We start from the raw sequence: 23,236 nt of genomic DNA, 5'->3' as shown, positions 1-23,236 counted from the left end.
GGGACTCAGCCATCCCGAATTCCTCACTCCTCTAGTCTTGGTCTTTAAGGATGTGCACTCCTGGGATCAGAACGATGGTAAAATAGCCAGTGTAATGAGGAGCGTTGGATATTGAGGTCCCAGGGATATAGACAGTGCAACAAGTCAGGCTGTAAGCACCTCACTGAACATCTCTTACCCAGCTCGGAAGCTGCATCAGAACCTCCTTCCAGACATGATATTTTTGACCAGGACTCGAGTCTGTCTGCACTTCCTGAGGATAGATCATCCTCTGCAATATCCATGTGAGTTGTTGAGCATCATTTTTGTTGAAGCCAATCAGTTAACCCAAAGTCCTTTAGTTAATTAATGCTTTGGAAATGAGGGCAGGTGGTTTTGTTTTTTGGGGTTTTTTTAGAGACAAGGTCTCACTCTGTTGCCTGGAAGGAGTGTGGTGACTCGATCATAGCTCACTGCAGTCTTGAATTCCTGGATCAACCAATCCTTCAGCCTCAGCCTACTGAGTAACTGGGACTACAGGTGCATGCCATTACACTTTGCAAATTTTTAAATTTTTTTTGTAGACACAGGTTCTCACTACGTTGCCCAGGCTGGTCTTACACTCCTGGCCTCTTGTACTCCCGCCTCAGCCTCCCAAAGGACCCGGATTATAGATGTGAGCCACAGTGCCTGGCTATATAAAGCTTTTAAAATGCAACACAATGCCATTGTTATTATTTGGAAGAATAATATCAAATATAATGAAAGGTATAGAAGAATAATATAGATCAAGTGTGTGTACTGGTTCCCCTAGGGAAGGGAAAAAAAATCAAAAACATGAAGCGGTGGTTTTGAAATATGCACTTTTTTTTTTTTTTTTTTGAGATGGAATCTTGCTCTGTCACCCAGGCTGGAGTGCAGTGGCATGATCTCGGCTCACTGCAACCTCCGCCTCCCAGGTTCAAGCGATTCTCCTGTAGAGACGGAGTTTCACCATATTGGTCAGCTGGTCTTGAACTCCTGACCTCAGATGATCCACCTGCCTCAGCCTCCCAAAATGCTGGGATTACAGGCATGAGCCACCATGCCCAGCCTCAAATACACACTTTATTGCAATAAAAATATTTTTTACTTTTTGCAATAAAAATATCTAATCAAGGATGGTGAATTGTGTGAATTTTTTTTTTTTTTTTTGAGACACAGTCTCCCTCTGTCACCCAGGCTGGAGTGCAGTGGCACGATCTCGGCTTACTGCAACCTCTGCCTCTCAGGTGCAAGCGATTCTCCTGCCTCAGCCTCCCAAGTAGCTGGGGTTACAGGCGTGCACCACACCACCACACCCAGCTAATTTTTTTGTATTTGTAGTAAAGACGGGGTTTCGCCATATTGGCCAGGCTGATCTCAAACTCTTGATCTCAGGTGATCCACCTGCCTCAGCCTCCCAAAGTGCTGGGATTATAGGCTTGAGCCACCACGCCTGGCCTTGTGTGAATCTTATATCGTTGACTGATGGGTAGCCAGCCCTTCATTATTCTCCGTACTTTCTGAATAATTCACACATGAATAATCTATAATAAAAATGAATATATCTGTGCAGGTTCAAAAACGTTTAGAATTTTTCTCACACTGTACACTGTTTATCATACAAAAATTTTCTTCCTTTCTTCCTTTCTTTCTCCTTTTCTTTTTCTCTCTCTTTCTCTTCCCTTCTCTCTTTTTTTTGTGAATCATACATCAGTTGTTAAAAAACAAGCTAAACTTTTTTTTTTTTTAAGACAGAGTGTCACTCTGTCACCCAGGCTGGAGTGCAATGGCACAATCTTGGCACACTGCAACCTCCATTTCCTGGGTTCAAGAGATTCTCCTGCCTCAGCCTCCCAAGTAGCTGGGATTGCAGGTGCATGCCACCATGCCTGGCTAATATTTGTAATTTTAATAGACATGGGGTTTCACCATGTTGGCTAGGCTGGTCTCGAACTCCTGACCTCATGATCCGCCTGCCTTAGCCTCCCAAAGTGCTGGGATTACAGGCGTGAACCACCACGCACAGCCTGTTGAGGGTTTTTAACATAAAGCAATGTTGAATTTTATTAAAAGCCTTTTTTGCATCTATTGAGATAATAATGTGGTTTTTGGGTTTAGTTCTTTTTATGTGATGAATCACATTTATTGATTTCTGTATGTTGAACCAATCTTGCATCAGAGGGATTAAAGTCTATTTGATAGTGGTGGATAAGTTTTTTGATGTGGATAATCATGTTTTATACCTTGTTTTATTCTCAGCACGTAGAAGAAGAAATGAAATTGAGTTAGTGTCTTATAATAATTTGTTTCAATAAAGAAAATGGAGAGGCCAGGCGCAGTGGCTCACACCTGTAATCCCAGCACTTTGGGAGGCCGAGGCAGGTGGATCACAAGGTCAGGAGTTCCAGACCAGTCTGGCTAAGATAGTGAAACCCGTCTCTACTAAAAATACAAAAATTAGCCGGGTGCGGTGGCTGGCGCCTGTAATCCCAGCTACTTTGGAGGACGAGGCAGGAAAATAGCTTGAACCCGGGAGGCGGAGGTTGCAGGGAGCCGAGATCGCGCCACTGTATTCTAACCTGGGTGACAGAGCAAGACTCCATCTCGAAAAAAAGAAAAAGAAAAAGAAAAAAAGAAAAGAAAATGGAGGGAACAGGAGGAGAGAGAAAAGAAATGTAGGAAGAAAGTAAGCAAGGGGAAGGATTTGAATATTCACTTGGGTTCACAGTGCACACTAGAGAATTTAAAAATTTGTTTGTTTGTTTTTTGAGATGGAGTCTCGCTCTGTTGCCCAGGCTGGAGTGCAGTGGCGCGATCTCGGCTCACTGCAAGCTCTGCCTCCTGGGTTCACGCCATTCTCCTGCCTCAGCCTCCCGAGTAGCTGGGACCACAGGCGCCCACCACCACGCCCCGATAATTTTTTGTATTTTTAGTAGACATGGGGTTTCACCGTGTTAGCCAGGATGGTCTCGATTGCCTGACCCCGTGATCTGCCCGCCTCGGCCTCCCAAAGTGCTGGGATTACAAGCATGAGCCACCACGCCCCACCAAGAATTTTAAAATTTTTTAAATGTCAAGTTTTATCATTTTTAAAAGTTTAAGAATGACACAAACTGACAAAATGTTAGCAATGTTGCAGTATGTTTCTATATTCATTTGTTTTGGGTAACATTGAAAATTGGATGATTGTCTTAGAAAATCACATGTGAAAGATGACAAATAGGTAATATTTAGCATGCTAACTCTGACTTTCTGTCTATCTCTAGCGCTGTTTGGAGCTCTATGCTGATAAGAATCCCAAAGGTACATGTGGTCTTAGCAGGAAAGAGCACTAGACTAGACTAGAAGTGTCTGCCATGGGTAAGGGAACAGCAGAAAGAATAAAGATAAAAGATTTCCACATTCTTTGGCCGAGCGTGATGGCTCACACCTGTAATCCCAGGACTTCGGGAGCCTGAGGCAGGCGGATCACTTGAAGTCAGGAGTTCGAGACCAGCCTGACCTACATGGTGAGACCCTGTCTCTACTAAACATACGAAAAAAAAAATTTTTTTTTAATTAGCCAAATATGGTGCTGTGCACCTGTAACCCTAGCTACTTGAGAGGCTGAGGAAGGAGACTCACTTGAACCTGGGAGGTGGAGCTTGCAGTGAGCTAAGATCACACCACTGCACTCCAGCCTGGGCGACAGAGTGAGACCCTATCTCCCGAAAAAAAAAAAAAAAAAACATTTCCACATTTTTTGATTAAGAAAACTCCACTCCTGGGCCAGGCATGGTGGCTCAAGCCTGTAATCCCAGCACTTTGGGAGGCTGAGGCAGGTGGATCACTTGAGGTCAGGAGTTCGAGATCAGCCTGACCAACATGGTGAGACCCCCACCCCCGCCGTCTCTACTAAAAACACACACACACACACACAAAATTAGCCAGGAATGGTGGTGTGCACCTGTAACCACAGCTACTTGGGAGGCTGAGGCCAGAGAATCACTTGAACATGGAGGTGGAGCTTGCAATAAGCTAAGATTACACCACTGCATTCCAGCCTGGTGGACAGAGTGAGACCCTGTCTCAAAAAAAAAAAAAAAAAAAAAAAGATTTCCACATTTTTTGATTAAGAAAACTCCATTCCTAAGTAAATGTTTTGAACTGTTTCTCAAAATTCAGCATCTATCAAAAACATCTACAAGGCTTGTGAAAGAATAAACTGTCGGTTCTCATCCCCAGAGTTTATCAGCAAGAAGTCTGGGGAGGGGAGCAAGATTTTGCGTTTCTGTCATGTTCTCGAGTGATGCCGATGCAGCTGCTGCTTACAGATTTTATTATCTTTTCCATCAGATTCATCATCAACAGCATGGAAGCGAGAAACCAAACAGCTATTTCAAAATTCCTTCTCCTGGGACTGATAGAGGATCCGGAACTGCAGCCCGTCCTTTTCAGCCTGTTCCTGTCCATGTACTTGGTCACCATCCTGGGGAACCTGCTCATCCTCTTGGCTGTCATCTCTGACTCTCACCTCCACACCCCCATGTACTTCTTCCTCTCCAATCTCTCCTTTTTGGACATTTGTTTAAGCACAACCACGATCCCAAAGATGCTGGTGAACATCCAAGCTCAGAATCGGAGCATCACGTACTCAGGCTGCCTCACCCAGATCTGCTTTGTCTTGTTTTTTGCTGGCTTGGAAAATTGTCTCCTTGCAGCAATGGCCTATGACCGCTATGTGGCCATTTGTCACCCCCTTAGATACACAGTCATCATGAACCCCCGCCTCTGTGGCCTGCTGATTCTTCTCTCTCTGTTGACTAGTGTTGTGAATGCCCTTCTTCTCAGCCTGATGGTGTTGAGGCTGTCCTTCTGCACAGACCTGGAAATCCCGCTCTTCTTCTGTGAACTGGCTCAGGTCATCCAACTCACCTGTTCAGACACCCTCATCAATAACATCCTGATATATTTTGCAGCTTGCATATTTGGTGGTGTTCCTCTGTCTGGAATCATTTTGTCTTACACTCAGATCACCTCCTGTGTTTTGAGAATGCCATCAGCAAGTGGAAAGCACAAAGCAGTTTCCACCTGTGGGTCTCACCTCTCCATTGTTCTCTTGTTCTATGGGGCAGGTTTGGGGGTGTACATTAGTTCTGTGGTTACTGACTCACCTAGGAAGACTGCAGTGGCTTCAGTGATGTATTCTGTGTTCCCTCAAATGGTGAACCCCTTTATCTATAGTCTGAGGAATAAGGACATGAAAGGAACCTTGAGGAAGTTCATAGGGAGGATACCTTCTCTTCTGTGGTGTGCCATTTGCTTTGGATTCAGGTTTCTAGAGTAAGTCAAAGTGACAGGATTCCTGGTGAGCTAGAATGCCTGACTCTTTGTTTTGTTTTGTTTTTTTCTCTGAGATGGAGTCTTTCTCTGTCTCCCAGGCTGGAGTGCAATGGCACGACCTCGGCTCACTGCAACTTCCGCCTCCGGGTTCAAGCCATCCTCCTGCCTCAGCCTCCTGAGTAGTGGGGATTACAGGCGCCTGCCACCATGCCTGGCTAATTTTTGTATTTTTAGTAGAGATAGAGTTTCACCATGTTGGCCAGGCTGGTCTCAAACTCCTGACGTCAGGTGATCCACCCGCCTCGGCCTCCCAAAGTGCTGGGATTACAGGCGTGAGACAATGCGCCCAGCCTGCCTGACTCTTTCATCACCAAGTTCTTCTAAAATGTCTAGATGACATAAAAGCCAACTACATTTCCACTCCGGCTTGAAATCTGACTTTGCTTTTTATGTCTGGATCTGTGATGATGGACATGTGATTTTAATTCTCTAGACTCAATTTCTTTGCTCAGGCCATAGACTCAGAGGCTGAGCCCAAGTTATTTATTTATTTATTTAGAGACAGAGTCTCGCTCTGTCGGCCAGGCTGGAGTGCAGTGGTGTGATCTCGGCTCACTGTAATCTCTGCCTCCCAGGTTCAAGCGATTCTCCCGCCTCAGCCTACTGAGTAGCTGGGACTACAGGTGCACGACACCACACCCGGCTAATTTTTGTACTTTTAGTAGAGGTGAGGTTTCATCATGCTGGCCAGGGTGGTCTCGATCTCCTGACCTTGTGATCCATTCGCCTCGGCCTCCCAAAGTTCTGGGATTACTGGGATTAGAGGCGTGAGCCACCGCTCCTGGCTAAGTGATTTTTTTTTAATGGATTAGTCTCAGAAGAAGAAAAGTTGTGGAAGGTAGATAGTTCAGGAGGATAGGTCAGGAAAATGTATTTTTGGTTTTTTGTTTAGTTTAGGTTTTTTGTTTTTTGTTTTGCTGAGACGGAGTCTTGCTCTGTCCACCAGGCTGGAGTGCAATGGCGCAATCTCGGCTAACTGCAACCTCCGCCTTCTGGGTTCAAGCGATTCTCCTACCTCAGGCTCCCAAGTAGCTGGGCAGTTTTGTTTTTTGTTTCTTTTTTTCCATAGACAGGGTCTTGCTTTGTCACCTAGGCTGGAATGCAATGACATGATCATAGCTCCCTGCAGCCCCAAACTCCAGGACTCCAGGGCTCAAACTCCAGGGACCCTCCTACCTCAGCCTCCTAGGAAGCTAGGACTCCAGGCATGCACCACCACGTCCAGTGTGGGGTGTGGTGTAGAGATGGACTCTGGCTATGTTGCCCAGGTTGGTCTCAAAACCTAGGTTCAAGTGATCCTCCTGCCATGGCCTCCCAAAGATCTGAGATTAGTGGTGAAGTCACTGTGCGCTGCCAGGAAAAGGATTTAAGCGAGGTTGTTGTTATATCTGGAGACAAGCTTCCACCTTATTGCGTATTTAGGGTCTTGTCAATTGCACCCCAGTGTAGACCTACAGTGGGTCAAGGGAGCTAAGTTTTCATACCCAATTTAGTAACTACTGGGACCAGTCACTGGTAAACTATATTCTCCCTAGACAACATTAGCATCTATTATACTCAGTTTTATCATCAAAAAATTAGCATGATTAGATTATCTTAGTGATTTGAGATTATTGTGAGATATTTGAACTTCATAAGTGAGGATACCTTAGGTTCCAGTTTAAAGAATAGGAGCCCTGGGCTGGGCACAGTGGCTCACACCTGTAATCCCAGCACTTTGGGAGGCCAAGGTGGGTGGATCACTTGAGGTCAGGAGTTCAAAACTGGCCTGGCCCACGTGGTGAAACCCCATCTCTACTAAAAATACAAAAGTTAGCCATGTGTGGTAGCTGGAGCCTGTAATCCCAGCTACTCGGGAGGCTGAGGCAGGAGAATTGCTTGAGCCCGCGAGGCGGAGGTTGCAGTGAGCCGAGATTGCACCACTGCACTCCAGCCTGGGAGACAGAGCAAGACTCAAAAAATAAATAAATAAATAAATAAATAAATAGCACCCCTAACTCTAATATGCTCAAACAGTAAAGACAGTTCTCTTTCATTACAAGGACCTCAGAATTAAGGAATGTGCACGAATAGGAGAGGGCTTCATTCAGTCCTTCACGAGGTTCCCTCCCCCCAGCACTGGTTTTCCTCTGACTGCAACAGGTAGTTGCAGTCAATGCAAGAGACATATCTAGACCTGATTCCCAGAGACAGAAAATGGAGAACCCTTCCCTGGGTCCATTGATAATAGATAACTTTCATGGAGTCAACCAGAAGACATTTCTGTCATGAGTTGGCTCATGGCCCTCAGAAGACTATATCCACATTTTAATCCTCTCGCTTGTGAATCTGAGCTTTTATTTATTTATTTATTTATTTATTTATTTATTTATTTATCTATCTATCTGAGCTGGAGTCTTGCCCTGTCGCCCAGGCTGGAGTGCAGTGGCGTGATCTCGGCTCACTGCAACCTCCGCTTCCCGGGTTCAAGAGATCCTCCTTCCTCTGCCTCCTGAGTAGCTGGGATTACAGGTGCCTGCCACCACAGCCTGCTAATTTTTATATTTTTAGTAGAGATGGGTTTTTGCCATGTTGGCCAGGCTGGTCTTGAACTTCTGGACTCAAGTGATACAATTGCCTCAGCCTCCCAAAATGCTGGGATTACAGACGTGAGCCACCGCACCTGGCCTTAAATCATATGACAAAAGGGTGAATGTGACTTATTTGGGAAAAGGGTCTTTGCAGAGAAGCAGCTTACCCTGGATTACCTGGGCAGGCTCTAAATGTAACCACATGTTTTCTTATAAGATAGGCAGAGGTGGAGGCCAGGCGCAGTGGTTCATCCTTGTAATTCCAACACGTTGGGAGGCTGAGGCAAGAGAATTGCTTGAGGCCAGGAGTTTGAACCCAGCTGGGCAACAAAATCAGACCCTGTTACAAAAAATTTTAAAAATTAGCTTGGCACAGTGGTGTGTACCTGTAGTCCCAATTACTTGAGAGGCTGAAATGGGAGGATCGCTTGAGCCCAGGAGTTGGAGACTGCAGTGAGCTATGATTGCACCATTGCACTCCAGCCTGGGCAACAGAGTGAGATTCAGTCTCAAACAAAAAAAAAAAAAAAAGAAAAAAAAAGACAGAAGTGGAGGAAACACAAAGAAAAGGAAGAAGTAATGTAACCATGGAGACAGGAATTTTATTGATGCTGTATTTGATTAGTGATTTTTTTATTAATTAGTATTTGATTGACAGTCTTGTACATTTTTGCCCTACAAATCTGTCCTTTTAATATGCATGTTGTTTATAGCCCTAGACAATTTATTAATCAAATTTTATTCTTTTTGACATTGTAAAAGTTGAAACTTCATGAACGAATTTTGTGCCCTGATTGTTGTTTCCTTTTTTATTTTTTTTTGAGAAGGGTCTTACTCTCACCCAGGCTGGGAGGCTGAGGCAGAAGAATCGTTTGAACCCGGGAGACGGAGGTTTGCAATGAGCTAAGATCATACCACTGCACTCCAGCCTGGGCAACACAGCAAGACTCCATCTAAAAAAAAAAAAGTTGTCATGCTTTTCATCATCTGGTGGCATTCTCAGAATGAAAGAGACAATTTGAATGCAAGAGAAAGTAATACCACATATTCTTATGCAGGAATGTAAAATTTTTAAAAATACACACATCCTTATGAATTAATTTTATTTTTAAGCTGAAATGTAGTATTAATCTTTCTGATATTGTTTGCTAAAGTGAGGACACCTTTAAAGGTATGTAGAGAAAGAGGTGTTGAATCCAGTACAGAAGGAAGATGAGGCCGGGCGCTGTGGCTCATGCCTGAAATCCCAGCACTTTGGGAGGCTGAGGCAGGCGGATCACCTGAGGTCAGGAGCTCAAGACCAGCCTGGCCAACATGGTGAAACCCTGTCTCTATTAAAAATACAAAAATTAGCCGGGCATGGTGGCACATACCTGTAGTCCCAGCTACTCCGGAGGCTGAGGCAGGAGAATCGCTTGAACCTGGGAAGCGGAGGTTGCAGTGAGCTGAGATCTTGCCACTGCACTCCAGCCTGGCGACAGAGCAAGACTTTGTCTCAAAATAAATAAATAAATAAATAAATAAAATAAACAAGGATGAGAGTTTCCTACTAGGCAATTTATGTGTGTGTGTGTTTTTTTTTTGTTGTTGTTTTTTTGTTTTGTTTTTTTTTAGCAGGATCTCACTCTGTTGCCCAGGCTAGAGTGCAGTGGTGTGATCATGGCTCACTGCAGCCTCAACCACCCCAGGCTCAGGTGACGCATCCTCTCACCTCAGCCTCTGGAGTAGCTGAGACTACAGGTTCACACCACCACATCTGGCTAATTTTTGTATTTTTTGTAGAGAGGGGGTTTCACTATGTTGCACAGGGTAGTCTCAAACTCCTGAGCTCGTGCAGTCCACTCGCCTCAGCTTCCAAAGTGCCAGGATTACAGGCATGAGCCACTGCACCGGCCTTTTCTCCCTGTGGATCTCACCTCTCAGAAACCCATTTCTAGAGTGTCATCATTCCACTAACATGCCAGCTACTTCGGACTTTAAGCTGTGAAATATACAAAAGAGAAATTCATAATGAATGATCCGGAAAACCTGATTAAGGTCTTCAAATACAAGAGAAGATCATCATGGTTAAGGGTGAGAATTTGGAATCAGACCAACTGGCTTTGAATCCCACCTGTGCTTTGTAAATAACCGTATAATTGTTGACACTTTATTTCACTGTTCCAAGCTCTATTTGCTCCCCTATAAAGTTAGCATTATCGGCCAGGCGCAGTGGCTCACACCTGCAATCCCAGCACTTTGGGAGGCCGAGGCGGGTGGATCACCTGAGGTCAGGAGTGCGAGACCAGCCTGGGCAACATGGTGAAATGCTGTCTGTACTAAAAATACAAAAAAGTAGCTGGGCGTGGTGGCACACACCTGTAATCCCAGCTACTCGGGAGGCTGAGGCAGGAGAATCACTTGAACCGGGGAGGTGGAGGTTGCAATGAGCCAAGATGGCGCCATTGCACTCCAGCCTGGGTGACACAGTGAAACTCCTTCTCAAAAAAAAATTTTTTTAAGTTAGCATTATCATATTTATTTACGTATTTAGGAAGACTTCTATATCAGTGTTTGTGTTGCTACAAGGAATACCTGAGTCTGGGTTATTTATTTATTTATTTATTTTGAGACAGAGTGTCGCTCTTGTCGCCCAGGCAGGAGTGCAGTGGTGCAGTCTCAGCTCACTGCAACCTCTGCCCCCTGGGTTCAAGTGATTCTCCTGCCTCAGCCTCTCCAGAAGCTGGGATTACAGGAGTGCGCCACCACGCCCAGCTAATTTTTGTATTTTTGGTAGAGACAGGGTTTCACCATGTTGGCCAGACTGCTTTTGAGCTCCTGACCTCAGGTGATCTGCCTGCCTCAGCCTCCCAAAGTGCTGGGATTATAGGCGTGAGCCACTGAGCCCAGCCTAGAGTCTGGGTAATTTATAAAGAAAAGAGGTTTATTTGTCTCACAGTTCTGCAGACTGTACAAGAAGGGTGGTGCCATCATCTACTTCTGGTGCAGACCTCAGGAAGCTTCCAATCACGGTGGAAGGGCAAGGGGAGCTGGCAAGTCAAATGGTGAGAGAGGAAGAGAGAGAGGGGAGGAGTGCCAGGGTCTTTGTGAAGTAGTAGAGCAAGAACTTCCTCATTACTATGGGGAGGGCACTAAATTCTTCATGATGAATCTGCCCCCATAATCAAACACCTCTGCCTAGGCCTCACCTCCGACACTGGGGATCACATTTCAACATAAGATCTGGAGGAGAGAAACATCCACATTATATCAACTTGAGACACTTCAACTTATTTATTTATTTATTTATTTATTTTGAGACAGTCTCGCTCCATCCCTTAGGCTGAAGTGCAGGTTGCAGTGGTGCCATCTCGGCCCACTGCAACCTCCGCCTCCCAGGTTCAAGTGATTCTCCTGCCTCAGCCTCCCGAGTAGCTGGGATTACAGGCACGCCCCACCACACCTGACTAATTTTTATATTTTTAGTAGAGATGGGGTTTTGCCATGTTGGCCAGGCTGGTCTTGAACTCCTGACCTCAGGTGATCTGCCTGCCTTGGCCTCCCAAAGTGCTGGGATTACAGGTGTAAGCCACAGCACCCGGGACACTTCTGCTTTATTAGTGACTCATATAAAGACAAGGGGTAAAAACAATGATTGGGCCAGGCGTGGTGGCTGATGTCTGTAATCCCAACATTTTGGGAGGCCAAGGCAGGTGGATCACCTGAGGTCAGGAGTTCAAGACCAGCCTGGCCAACATGGTGAAATCCCGTCTCTACTAAAAATACAAAAAAACTAGCTGGGTGTGGTGGTGCGCTCCTGTAGTCCCAGCTACTGGGGAGGCTGAGGCGGAGAATTGCATGAACCCAGGAGGTGGAGGTTGCAGTGAGCTGAGATAGTGCCACTACACTCCAGCCTGGGCAACAGAGTGAGACTCTGTCTCAAAAAAAAAAAAAAAAAATTTTGGCCAGGTGTGGTGGCTCACACCTGTAATCCCAGCATTTTGAGAGGCTGAGATGGGAGGATGGCTTGAGCTCAGGAGTTTGAGAGCAGCCTGGACAACATAGTGAGACCCCATCTCTACCAAAAAAATATATACAAATAAAAATAAATTAGCCGGGCATGGTGCTGCATGCCTCTGGTCCCAACTACTTGGGAGGCTGAGGTGGGAGGACTGCTTGAGCCCAGGAGGTCAAGACTGCAGTGAGCTATAATCATGCCGCTGCACTCCAGCCTGGGCAACAGAGCCCCAGAATGATTATCTTTCCTAACGGAGTTTGGAGACAGAGTCGGTCCAGCCACAGAACCACATGGCGGCATTTCACTCCTTCACGTGTTGACATCTTCCTAAGACTCCTCCCCTCACAGTCACTGTGTTATTCGGCCAGGGCTGGTTATAACAAAACACCGCAGACTGCGTGGCTAAATAAGTGAAGTGGATTGTCTCATGGTTCTGAGGGTCAGAAGCCCAAGATCGACGTGCCGTTGGGATTGGTTTTTGGTGAAGTCTTTCTTCCGTGGCAGATAGACCCCCTTTCGCTGTGTCCTCAAATGGCCTTTCCAGCCAGGCTTGGTGGCTCACGCCTGTAATCCCAGCACTTTGGGAGGCCAAGGTGGGTGGATCATTTGAGGTCAGGAGGTCGAGAACAGCCTGGCCCACATGGTAAAACCCTGTCTCCACCAAAAATACAAAAATTAGCCGGGTATGGTGATGGGTGCCTGTAGTTCCAGCTAGTCTGGAGGGTGAGGCAGGAGGATCACTTGAACCCAGAGGCGGAGGTTGCAGTGAGCAGAGATCATGCCATTGCACTCCAGCCTGGGTGACAGAATGAGACTCTGTCTCAAAAACAAAAAAGAAAACAAAAAGAAAAACAGTTACCAGACCATCCTGAGACTTCCCGTGAAACTTCTGCGGCTGGGTAGTATGGCAAAACCCTGTCTGTACAAAAGATACAAAAATTAGCTGAGCATGGTGGTATGTGCCTATGGTCCTAGCTACTCGGAAGGCTGAGGTGGGAGGATTGCTTCAGCCAGGGAGGTCAAGGCTGCAATGAGCCGTGATCATGCCACTGCACTCCAGCCTGGGCAACAGAACGAGACTCTGTCTCAAAAAACAAAAACAAACAAAAAATTCAAAGTGAGGCTCGGCGTGGTAGCTCACACCTGTAATCCTAGGATGTTAGGAGGCTGAGGGGGAAGTACTGCTTGAGCCCAGGAGTTCCAGACCAGCCTGGCCAAATTAGTGAGACCCTGTCTCTAGTAAAACAATGCACACAGAGAGAGAAGTTTGAAGCTGCAGTGATCTATGATCACGCCACTGCACTCCAGCACGGGCAACATAGTGAGACCCCATCTCTAAATAATAATAATAATAATAAAATTCAAAGTGCCTACTCTTCAACTCATGCAATTCCAGATGTTAGCCCAAGACTCCCAGATGTATATATTCTACCCCCCAGAAGTTCCTGAGTCCTGGTGGTCAGGAAGATGAGGTGATCTTTCTGTTGACCAGCTTCCTGAGAGCCCCTTTCAGGTCTCTGTTCCTCAAGCTGTAGATGAAGGGATTCAGCATGGGGGTGACTGCTGTGTACATCACCGCAGAAGCTTTCTCCTTCACAGTGGTGAGGACCGAGGAGGGACACAGATAGACGCCAATGGTGGTCCCATAGAAGAGAGCAACCACAGACAGGTGGGAGCTGCAGGTGGAGAAGGCTTTCTTCCTGCCGCCTGCAGAGGGGACCTTCATGATGGCCACAAGGATGCGAGCATAGGAGGCCAGGATGCAGACAAAGGGCGTGGCTATCACCATCCCTGCCACAATGAGGATGAAGATCCTATTCACAGAGGTGTCCGTGCACGAAAGTCGGAGGATGGGAGTGAGGTCGCAGAAGTAGTGAGGCACCTCATGGCTGCCGCAGAAAACGAGACGGGCCATCAGGAGGATGTGAGTGAGTGAGATGAAGCAGGAAAACGCCCAGAGGGCGCCGACCAGCAGGCGACAGAGGCGTAGGCTCATGATCTTGGCGTAGTGCAATGGGTGGCAGATGGCCACGAACCGGTCATAAGCCATCATGGCGATTATGACGCTGTCCACGATGCCAAAGAAATGGAAGAAGTACATCTGGATCAGGCAGCAGGGATAAGAGATGGCCTTGCTCCCGGTTTGAAGGCTCACCAGCATCTTAGGGATGGTGTTGGTGGCCAGACAGAAATCAACCAGGGACAGGTTGGCCAGGAAGAAGTACATGGGGGTGTGGAGGTGGGAGTCTATGCTGATGGCCAGGATGATGAGCAGGTTCCCCACGACCATGACCAGGTACATGCAGAAGAACAGGGAAAAGAGAAGCGTCTCCTGCTCTGGCTTTTCTGAGAGTCCCAGGAGGATGAATTGAGATGCACTGGTTTGGTTTCTTGGTTCCATGGGTGTGATTCCTCTGGAAGTATGGAAAGGGGAGGTTATAGGAATGACAGGGAGATGGTTTTGGAAAGTTAGATGCGATCACATCCCAGTTCTCATTTGGGCTAATTATGAGACCAGATGTGTATATATATATATGTGTGTGTGTGTGTGTGTGTGTGTGTGTGTATATATAGAATATATATGTGTGTGTGTATATATATATATATAGAGAGAGAGAGAGAGAGAATATATGTAAATATATTCCACACATGTACGGTGTTGTAACTTTAGAGACCCTGTCTCTAAAATAGAAATATTATATATATTATTACATATTATGTATATATACATATATATATATTTTTGAGACAGAGTCTTGCTTTGTCACCCAGGTTGGAGTACAGTCGTGCAATCTCTGCTCACTGCAACCTCTGCCTCCTGGGTTCAAGTGATTCTCCTGCCTCAGCCTCATGAGTAGCTGGGACTACAGGTGCCCACCACCACGTCCGGCTAATTTTTTGTACTTTTAGTAGAAATGGGGTTTCACCATATTGGCCAGGCTGGTCTCGAACTCCTGACCTCGTGATCCGCCCACCTCGGCCTCCCAAAGTGCTGGGATTACAGGCGTGAGCCACCACGCCAGGCTAAAGATATTATTTTTTAGAGACAGGGTCTTGCTGTGTCACCCAGGAGGGAGTGCAGTGGTGCAATCATAGTTCATTGCAACCTTGAACTCCTGGGCTCAAGCCAGCCTCCTGCCACAGCCTCTCTAGTAGCGGGGTCTACAGGCACACACCATAAGTAAGCCTGGCTTATTTATCTTTTCTTGTGTGTGGTGGAGACAGGATCTTGCTATGTTGTCCAGGCTGGTCTTGAATTCCTGAGCTTGAGTGATCCTCCCATCTAGGCCTTCCAAAGTGCTACAATTGCAGGTGTGAGCTACCGCACTTGGCCTGACAACAGCTTATATATAGGTTGCACTTTAAACCATGGATGAAGTATTTATAGCAACTCTTCTTCTTTTTTGATTAATTAAAAAATGTTAGGGCCAGGCACGATGGGTCCCATCTGTAATCACAGCACTTTGGGAGGGCGAGGTGGGCAGAGAGCTTGAATGCAGGTGTTCAAGAGCAGCCTGAGCAACATGGCAAAACCCCTTCTCTACCAAAAAAAAAAAAAAAAAAAAAAAAAAAGCCAGGCATGATGGTGGACACCTATAGTTCCAAGTACTCGGGAGGCTGAGGTGGGAAGATTGCTTGACCCTTGGAGCAGAGGTTGCAGTGAGCCAAGATCACACCACGGTACTCCAGCCTGGTGACAGAGCAAGACTACATCTCAATAACAACAACAATAATAATAGGGTTATACAAAGCATTCTTTCCCTCTTTTCTTTCTTCCTGACATGGCAAACTCAACATATAAAAAAATAAAGTCTATTTTCTCCCGGAGCCACTATGTCCATGAATGGAATCACCATCCTTCCAGATACCTGTGTTTGAAATTTTCAGTCTTCCTCCTTTCTACCTCCACCGTCAAAGGCAATCCATCAATGAGTGTTACATCCTCTACAAGTCGAACTTCCTTCCTTTGTTTTTTTTTTTCCTTTTGAGACGGGGTCTTGCTCTGTTGCCTAGGCTGGAGTGCAGTGGCACGATCTTGGCTCACTGTAATCTCTGCTTCCCAGGCTCAAGCAATTCTCCTGCCTCACCCTCCCAAGTAGCTGGGATTACAGGAGCACGCCACCATGCCCAGCTCACTTTTGTATTTTTAGTAGAAATGGGGTTTAACCCAGCTGAGTATCTGGACACTAAAATAAAATAGCAACGTGCTCCTTAGTTCACATCCAACAGCTTTATTCTTAGCATGTGTGGCAATTCTTGATTAATTGGAATTAAAATAAACAATAGCACCTGTGGTGCAAATACTATTTAAAAAAAAAAAAAGAAATGGGGTTTAACCTTGTTGGCCAGGCTGGTCTCGAACGCCTGACATCAGGTGATCCGCCCACACTTGGCCTCCCAAAGTGCCGGGATTATGGGTGTAAACCATTGCTCCCAGCCTGAACTTTCCATTTTTTATTTTATCTATTTGTTTTTTTTGAGACAGAGTCTCGCTCTGTCACTCGGGCTGGAGTGCGGTGGCACGATCTCGGCTCACTGCAAGCTCCGCCTCCCAGGTTCACGCCATTCTCCTGCCTCAGACTCCCGAGTAGCTGGGACTACAGGCGCCCACCACCACGCCTGGCTAATTTTTTGTACTTTTTAGTAGAGACGGGGTTTCACCATGTTAGCCAGGATGGTCTTGATCTCCTGACCTCGTGATCTGCCCGCCTTGGCCTCTCAAAGTGCTGGGATTACAGGCATGAGCCACCGCGCCCGTCCTGAACTTTTTATTTTTATAGTCATTTCCAGTCATCTCCTCTTTCCAGACACCCTAAATGAAAGGCTCTTATTACTTCTGAGTTGCCAAGTTCACTAATCTTAAGCTAGCCTCATGCATCCAATTATCTTCCTTTGAAACAATCCTGAAGTCGGCCGGGCGCGGTGGCTCATGCCTGTCATCCTAGCACTTTGGGAGGCCGAGGCAGGCGGATCACCTGAGGTCGGGAGTTCAAGTCTAGCCTGACCAACATGGAGAAAACCCGTCTCTACTAAAAATACAAAATTAGCCGGGCATGGTGGCGCATGCCTGTAAACCCAGCTACTCAGGAGGCTGAGGCAGAGGTTGCAGTGAGCCCCGATTGCGCCACTGCACTCCTGCCTGGGCAGCAAGAGCGAAACTCCATCTCAAAAAAAAGAAACAATCCTGAAGTCACTAAATTAATCTTCCTGCATTACAGTTCTGATCATGTTACTTTTATATTTTTATTTTTTATTTTTGTGATTTCTAATGAACACCTTGCAGATGTCACTTTTATTCACTCACGCATTCGTTCATTCATTTTGTAAAAAATTATTGGTAATTGCAATATATAGTGACAGGATCTGGCCTGAGTTGTGGGGACAAATATATGAAAATACACAGACCCTGTCCTCAAGACATTTGAAATCAGGAATTGTTTGTCTTTGTTCATTTTTGTGACCAGCATCTTGTCTGGGATACAGAAGACATAAACATAATTGTTCCATATACGCATGAATCAGTGATGGTTATCCTGTATTGCCAGGCACTGATCGAAGGTCTCTGCTAATTTGCTACTCACGACAACAGAATAATGTTAGTGCTATTTCATGCAGGAAGAAATGGAAGCACAGAAGATTAATACAATCAAATGGGGTTTAACTGAGAGCAGGTGGCTGGATTAGCCCAAGCATTCTAAATCTAGAGCATGTACTCTTAATCTCTGTAATTCATGAAGCACGCATGGATTCATGAATTCACAGTTTAGTGAGGGAGATGAACTCCAGGCAGCATTTATCAGATTATGAGGAGCTTGGATTAATAGAGAATCACACCCCACACACAGCACCCCTGAGGATTGTAAGAGCACTCCGAAAACTGTTGAGGCAGCCAGGGATTTTTGGAAAATGTGTTGGCTTTAGGCAGGGCACAGTGGCTCACACCTGTAATCCCAGCACTTTGGGAGGCTGAGACAGGCGGATTGCCTGAGGTCAGGAGTTCGAGACCAGCCTGGCCGACATGGTGAAACCCCGTCTCTACTAAAAATACAAAAAATTATCCGGGCGTAGTGGTGGGCCCCTGTAATCCTGGCTACTTGGGAGGCTGAGGCAGGAGAATCGCTTGAACCCAGGAGGCGGAGGTTGCAGTGAGCTGAGATTGTGCCATTGCACTCCAGCCGGGGTGACAAGAGCGAAACTCTGTCTCAAAAAAAAAAAAAAAAAAATGTGGTAGAAATACACAATGGAAAACTATTCAGCCATAAAAATGAAGGAGATCTTGTCATTTACAGCAACATGGAAAGAATTGGAGCATATTATAAATGAAATAAGCCAGGAACAGAAAGTTAAACACTGCATGTTCTCACTCACATGTGAAAGCTAAAAGAAAAAAAATGATTTCATAGAAGTAAAAAGAACAGAGGATACTAGAGTCTGGGAAGGGTAGAGGGAGGGGGCAGATAGGAAGAGATTTGTTACAGCATACAGAACTACAGGCAAATTGGAAGAATAAGTTCTAGTGTTCTATATCCCTGTAGGATGAATACAGTTAACAATAATATGCTATATAGCTAAACAGCTAGAAGGAGGATATTGAGTGTTCCCAACACAGAGAAATGATAAATGTTTGTGATAATAGATGTGCTAATTACCCAGATCTGATCACTATACATTACATATATGGAAACATTACTATGTACCTCATAAATATATACAATTAAAACATTTTAAAAGGAGTCAGAGTATTTTTTTTTTTTTTGAGACAGAGTTTCGCTCTTGTTGCTCAGGCAGGAGTGCAATGGTGCAATCTCAGCTCACTGCAACCTCTGCCTCCCGGATATAAATGGTTCTCTGGCCTCAGCCTCCCGAGTAGCTGGGATTACAGGCACCCACCACCACACCTGGCTAATTTTTTTGTATGTTTACTAGAGATGGGGTTTCACCATGCTGGCCAGGCTGGTCTTGAACTCCTGACCACAGGTGATCCGCCCGCCTCGGCCTTCCAAAGTGCTGGGATTACAGGTGTGAGCCACCGTGCCTGGCCGAGTCAGAGTATTTTTCCATCTCAAGGAAGCCAGTGAATGCTCTGTGATTAAACTACTAATGGAATCAAGGAACTGATCTCAGACATCCTCCTGCCCTGACACCTAAGCTTTCACTGAATTACTCTGTCACTCCTCATTCTTCCACAGCTCTTGGGAAAAATTTAAGTATCAGGAACCCGAAGATTCATCCCTTAAGCTTCTTGATGAGCCTCTCTCCAAGGAAGCACCAGTCCTATCCTATCTGGACCTCTGCACTCTGTGTCTAAGATCTCTCAGCCTGGAATACTTGGGAATCTCCAAGGGCTTCCAAGACCCAACATGGGGAATAACACAAACTTCTGCCTACAGAAGTACTGAGGAGGAAGCCATCTGTTCCTTCAGGCACTCAAGTGGGCTTGGAAAAGAAAGTCCAGGCTGGGCGCAGTGGCTCATGCTTGTAATACCAGAACTTTGGGAGGCTGAGGCGGGTGGATCACCTGAGGTCAAGAGTTGGAGACCAGCGTGGCCATTATGGTGAAACCCCAGCTCCACTAAAAATACAAAAATTAGCTGGGTGTGGTGGCGGGCATCTGTAATTCCAGCTACTTGGGAGGCTGAGGCAGGAGAATCTCTTGAACCTGAGAGATGGAGGTTGCAGTGAGCCAAGATCATGCCACTGCACTGCAGCCTGGGTGACAGAGTAAGACTCCATTTCAAAAAAAAAGTCTAGTTACGAAGAAAAACAGTGCTACAAATAATCATGGTTTTTAGGTAAAGGACTGGTAGCATCACAACTAAACCAGGCTGAGCTAGTTTGGTAAGAAGAGCCATTGGATTCTGGGCTGACAAGTGGGTGCTGATTGACCAGACAGAATCTTCCAGTGTCGGCCGAGCACAGTGAATTCCAGTACTTTCGGAGGCTGAGGCGGGTGATCACCTGAGGTCAGGTGTTCGAGATCAGCCTGACCAACATGGTGAAACCTTGTCTCTACTAAAAATACAAAATTCACAAGGCATGGTGGTGTATGCCTGTAATCCCAGCTACTCGGGAGGCTGAGGTAGGAGAATTGCTCGAACCTGGGAGTCAGAGGTTGCAGTGAGCCAAGATCGTGCCATTGCACTCCAGCCTGGGCAACAAGAGCAAAACTCCATCTCGGTGGGGGAAAAATGTTCAAAAAATCAGCTGGGTGTGGTGGCACATGCCTGTAGTTCCAGCTACTCTAGAGGCTGAGGCAGGAGGATTGCTTAAGCCCAGGAGGTAGAAGCTGCAGTGAGCTGTGATTGTGCCACTGCACTCCAGCCTGAATAACAGAGCAAGGTTCTGTCTCTAAAATAAATAAATCAGTAAATCAATAAATAATAAAAAAGAATCTTCCAGTGTATCTGAGATCATTGAGCTTGGCTTCATTAATTTTACCAACATTCGTTCAGTCTCTCTCTCTCTCTCTCTCTCTCAGCTCACTCACTGGGCTATCTTTCCTCTTCTTGACACCATCACCCAGGCATGAGTTAAACTGGCTCAGTGTCCTCCCAGCAGGTACTAGATGATGAAGTTAGATGTTTGGGCCAGCAGATGCTACATAGAAATACTGGGAAGTTGTCCTCCTGGTCCAAAGAAGAAAAGCTAGGGTGGGGGATAAGTTGTAGGAACCGAGGGAATATTTACAATTTCTGGGCCAATAAGAAGTCAATTCCCCAAGCTCCTTGTTACACAAATTGTCCAATTTCATCTCTAGTCCCTGAATAGTTCTGTTTCCTATGGGGGCTGGGACGTGGCAGTAAGAAGCATTTTATGTCTTCATGAGGCAACTTAGGGGTAAGTTGCATGATTCCTAACTTTCTCTGCACCCTCTCTTCCAGGAACAAACTCTCCCTGTCTTCTAAACTCAGTCTTTCCAATGCCCAGGGCTTCTTATATCAGAAGGTTCCATTCTTATTGGAAGCCAATGTTCCTCATCACTTAAAGAATTAAGAAATGGCCGGGTGTGATGGCTCACGCCTGTAATCCCAGCACTTTGGGAGGCTGAGGCGGGTGGATCATGAGGTCAAGAGATTGAGACAATCCTGGCCAACATGGTGAAACACTGTCTCTACTAAAAATACAAAAATTAGTTGGCATGGTGGTGCACACCTGTAGTCCCAGCTACTCAGGAGGCTGAGGCAGAAGAATCGCTTGAACCCAGGAGGCAGAGGTTGTGGTGAGCCGAGATTGCACCATTGTACTCCAGCCTGGGCAACAAGAGCGAAACTCCATCTCAAAAAAAAAAAAAAAAAAAAAAAGAAAAGAACTAAGAAACACTCCAAACATTTTCCCACGTCCACCCAGTGATCTGTCACCAAGACCCAGGGCTGCCTGCTTTCATCACTCAACCTCAACAGAACAACTCTCTATAAAGGGATCATGGCTTTCATTCAGTTCTGCAAAAGGAGAAACTAGAGCCTACCCTAATGGATGTACATGGAGAGAGTGGTTGGCTGACTAAGTCTGCAGCCAGATTCTCACTGAGTATTGGGACCATGGTGGCATTACTGGGAATTTTCAGGAATTTGGTTTTATAAGGTCATGCCCAGATTATTGGGTTGTGTCTACTCAGTAAACACTCATGAAACTGATGGATACATGAAGGCTCAGTTTTTCAAAGCCTTTAGCTATGTAAAGAGCAAAATACTAGGTTGAGCCATATGCAATTGTCAATATTCTACCATTTTTGATCAACAAAACTGGCATTTTTTTTTTTGGTATGCCTCAGCTTCATATAATGAAATCCTGTGTGCCCAATCACTCAGCTTCCACACCTACCAAGTCAAGCCTCTGTTGAATCTGTGTCCTACCTACTTTGACCTCTCTCTTCCCAGAGATAATTTCAGAGCAAATTCCATATGTATAATGATTTTGGTATGTCTTCAAAAAACAAAAAGCTCTTTTTGAAAGCATAACCACAATACCATTATTATTATTATTATTTTGAGATGGAGTCTCGCTCTGTGATCCAGGCTGGAGTAGAGTGGTGCAATCTTGGCTCACCGCAACCTCCGCCTCCCGGGTTCAAGCGATTCTCCTGCCTCAGCCTCCTGAGTAGGGAGGCTCCCAAGTTGTATTTTTAGTAGAGACAGGATTTCACCATGTTGGCCAGGCTAGTCTTGGACTCCTGACCTCAAGCGATCCACCCACCTCAGCCTCCCAAAGTGCTGGGATTACCGATGTGAGCCACTGCGCCTAGCAATTATTTTGATTCAAAATATTAATAATAATTATATAACATTTTCAAATACCCAATTATTATTCAAATTACCCAAATTGCCTCATATATTTTTAGTTTTTTACATCAGAATTCATATAATGTCCATAGATTGCAGTTGGTTGATTACTGTTTTAAGTCCTTTTAATCTATAGGTTTTTCTGTTTTCCTTTCTTATTTTTGAACAGGGTGTCATTCTGTCACCCAGGGTAGAGTGCAGTGGTCTGGTCATAACCCACTGCAGCCTCCAATTCCTGGGCTTACATAATCCTCCCTCTTCAGCCTCCTGAGTAACTGGGACTACAGGTGTGTGCCATCAATCCTGGCTAATTTTTAAAAAATTTTTAATGTTTTATAGAGATGGGGTCTCGCTAGGTTTCCTAGGCTGGTCTCAAACTCTTGGCCCCAAGGGATTCTTCTGCCTCAGCCTCCTAAATTTTTAGAAATTTGGTTTTATGAGGCAATGCCCAGATTATGGGGTAATGTGCTCACTCAATAAACACTCATGAAATAAAAACCTTTCATGATAAAAATTCTGAAGTGCTGGAATTACAGGTGTCAGCCACCACACCCAGCCAAAAGCTCTTGTTTCTCTTTTACCTATTACTTCTTTAATGCTTTTCCTTTATTTACGTAGATCTGAGTTTCTGACCTCTATTATATTCTTCTCTATAAATTACTTCTTTTAACATTTTTTTTTCTTTGAGACGGAGTTTCACTCTTGTCGCCCAGGCTGGAGTGCAATGGCACGATCTTGGCTCACTGCAACCTCTGCCTCCTGGGTTCAAGCAATTCACGTGCCTCAGCCTCCTAGGTAGCTAGGATTACCTGTGTATGCCACCACGCGCAGCTAATGTTTTTGTATTTTTAGTAGAGACAGGATTTCACTATGTTGGAGAGTCTGGTCTTGAACTCCTGGCCTCTAGTGATTCGCCCATCTACCATAGTGCTGGGTTTACAGGCATGAGCCACCACACACAGTCCTGAAGCAGCTTTTCAGGTTAACTTTAGAATGCCTTTGGC

The 23,236-nt window shown here is 45.6% G+C and overlaps 2 protein-coding genes across 2 annotated transcripts; one reads left to right on the top strand and one right to left on the bottom strand.

Moving 5' to 3' along the window:
* Window positions 1–122: 122 nt before the first annotated feature.
* Window positions 123–7,191, top strand: OR7G2 (olfactory receptor family 7 subfamily G member 2). The gene is made up of 2 exons (NM_001005193.2): window positions 123–284; window positions 4,339–7,191. The coding sequence occupies exon 2, from the start codon at window positions 4,355–4,357 to the stop codon at window positions 5,327–5,329; it is 975 nt and encodes a 324-aa protein (NP_001005193.2). The 5' UTR covers window positions 123–284; window positions 4,339–4,354; the 3' UTR covers window positions 5,330–7,191.
* A 4,737-nt stretch (window positions 7,192–11,928) lies between these two features.
* OR1M1 (olfactory receptor family 1 subfamily M member 1) lies at window positions 11,929–20,537 on the bottom strand. Its single transcript, NM_001004456.2, has 2 exons — window positions 20,441–20,537; window positions 11,929–14,366 (listed from the first exon to the last, which is right to left on the bottom strand). Exon 2 carries the CDS (start codon window positions 14,351–14,353, stop codon window positions 13,412–13,414), a length of 942 nt encoding a protein of 313 aa, NP_001004456.1. The 5' UTR covers window positions 14,354–14,366; window positions 20,441–20,537; the 3' UTR covers window positions 11,929–13,411.
* Window positions 20,538–23,236: the final 2,699 nt, after the last annotated feature.

Source organism: Homo sapiens, chromosome 19, assembly GCF_000001405.40.
Source record: "Homo sapiens chromosome 19, GRCh38.p14 Primary Assembly".
NCBI classification, from domain to species: domain Eukaryota; kingdom Metazoa; phylum Chordata; class Mammalia; order Primates; family Hominidae; genus Homo; species Homo sapiens.
The sequence above is the reverse complement of the archived record's forward strand: the minus strand, read 5'-3'. Positions and strand labels throughout refer to the sequence as shown.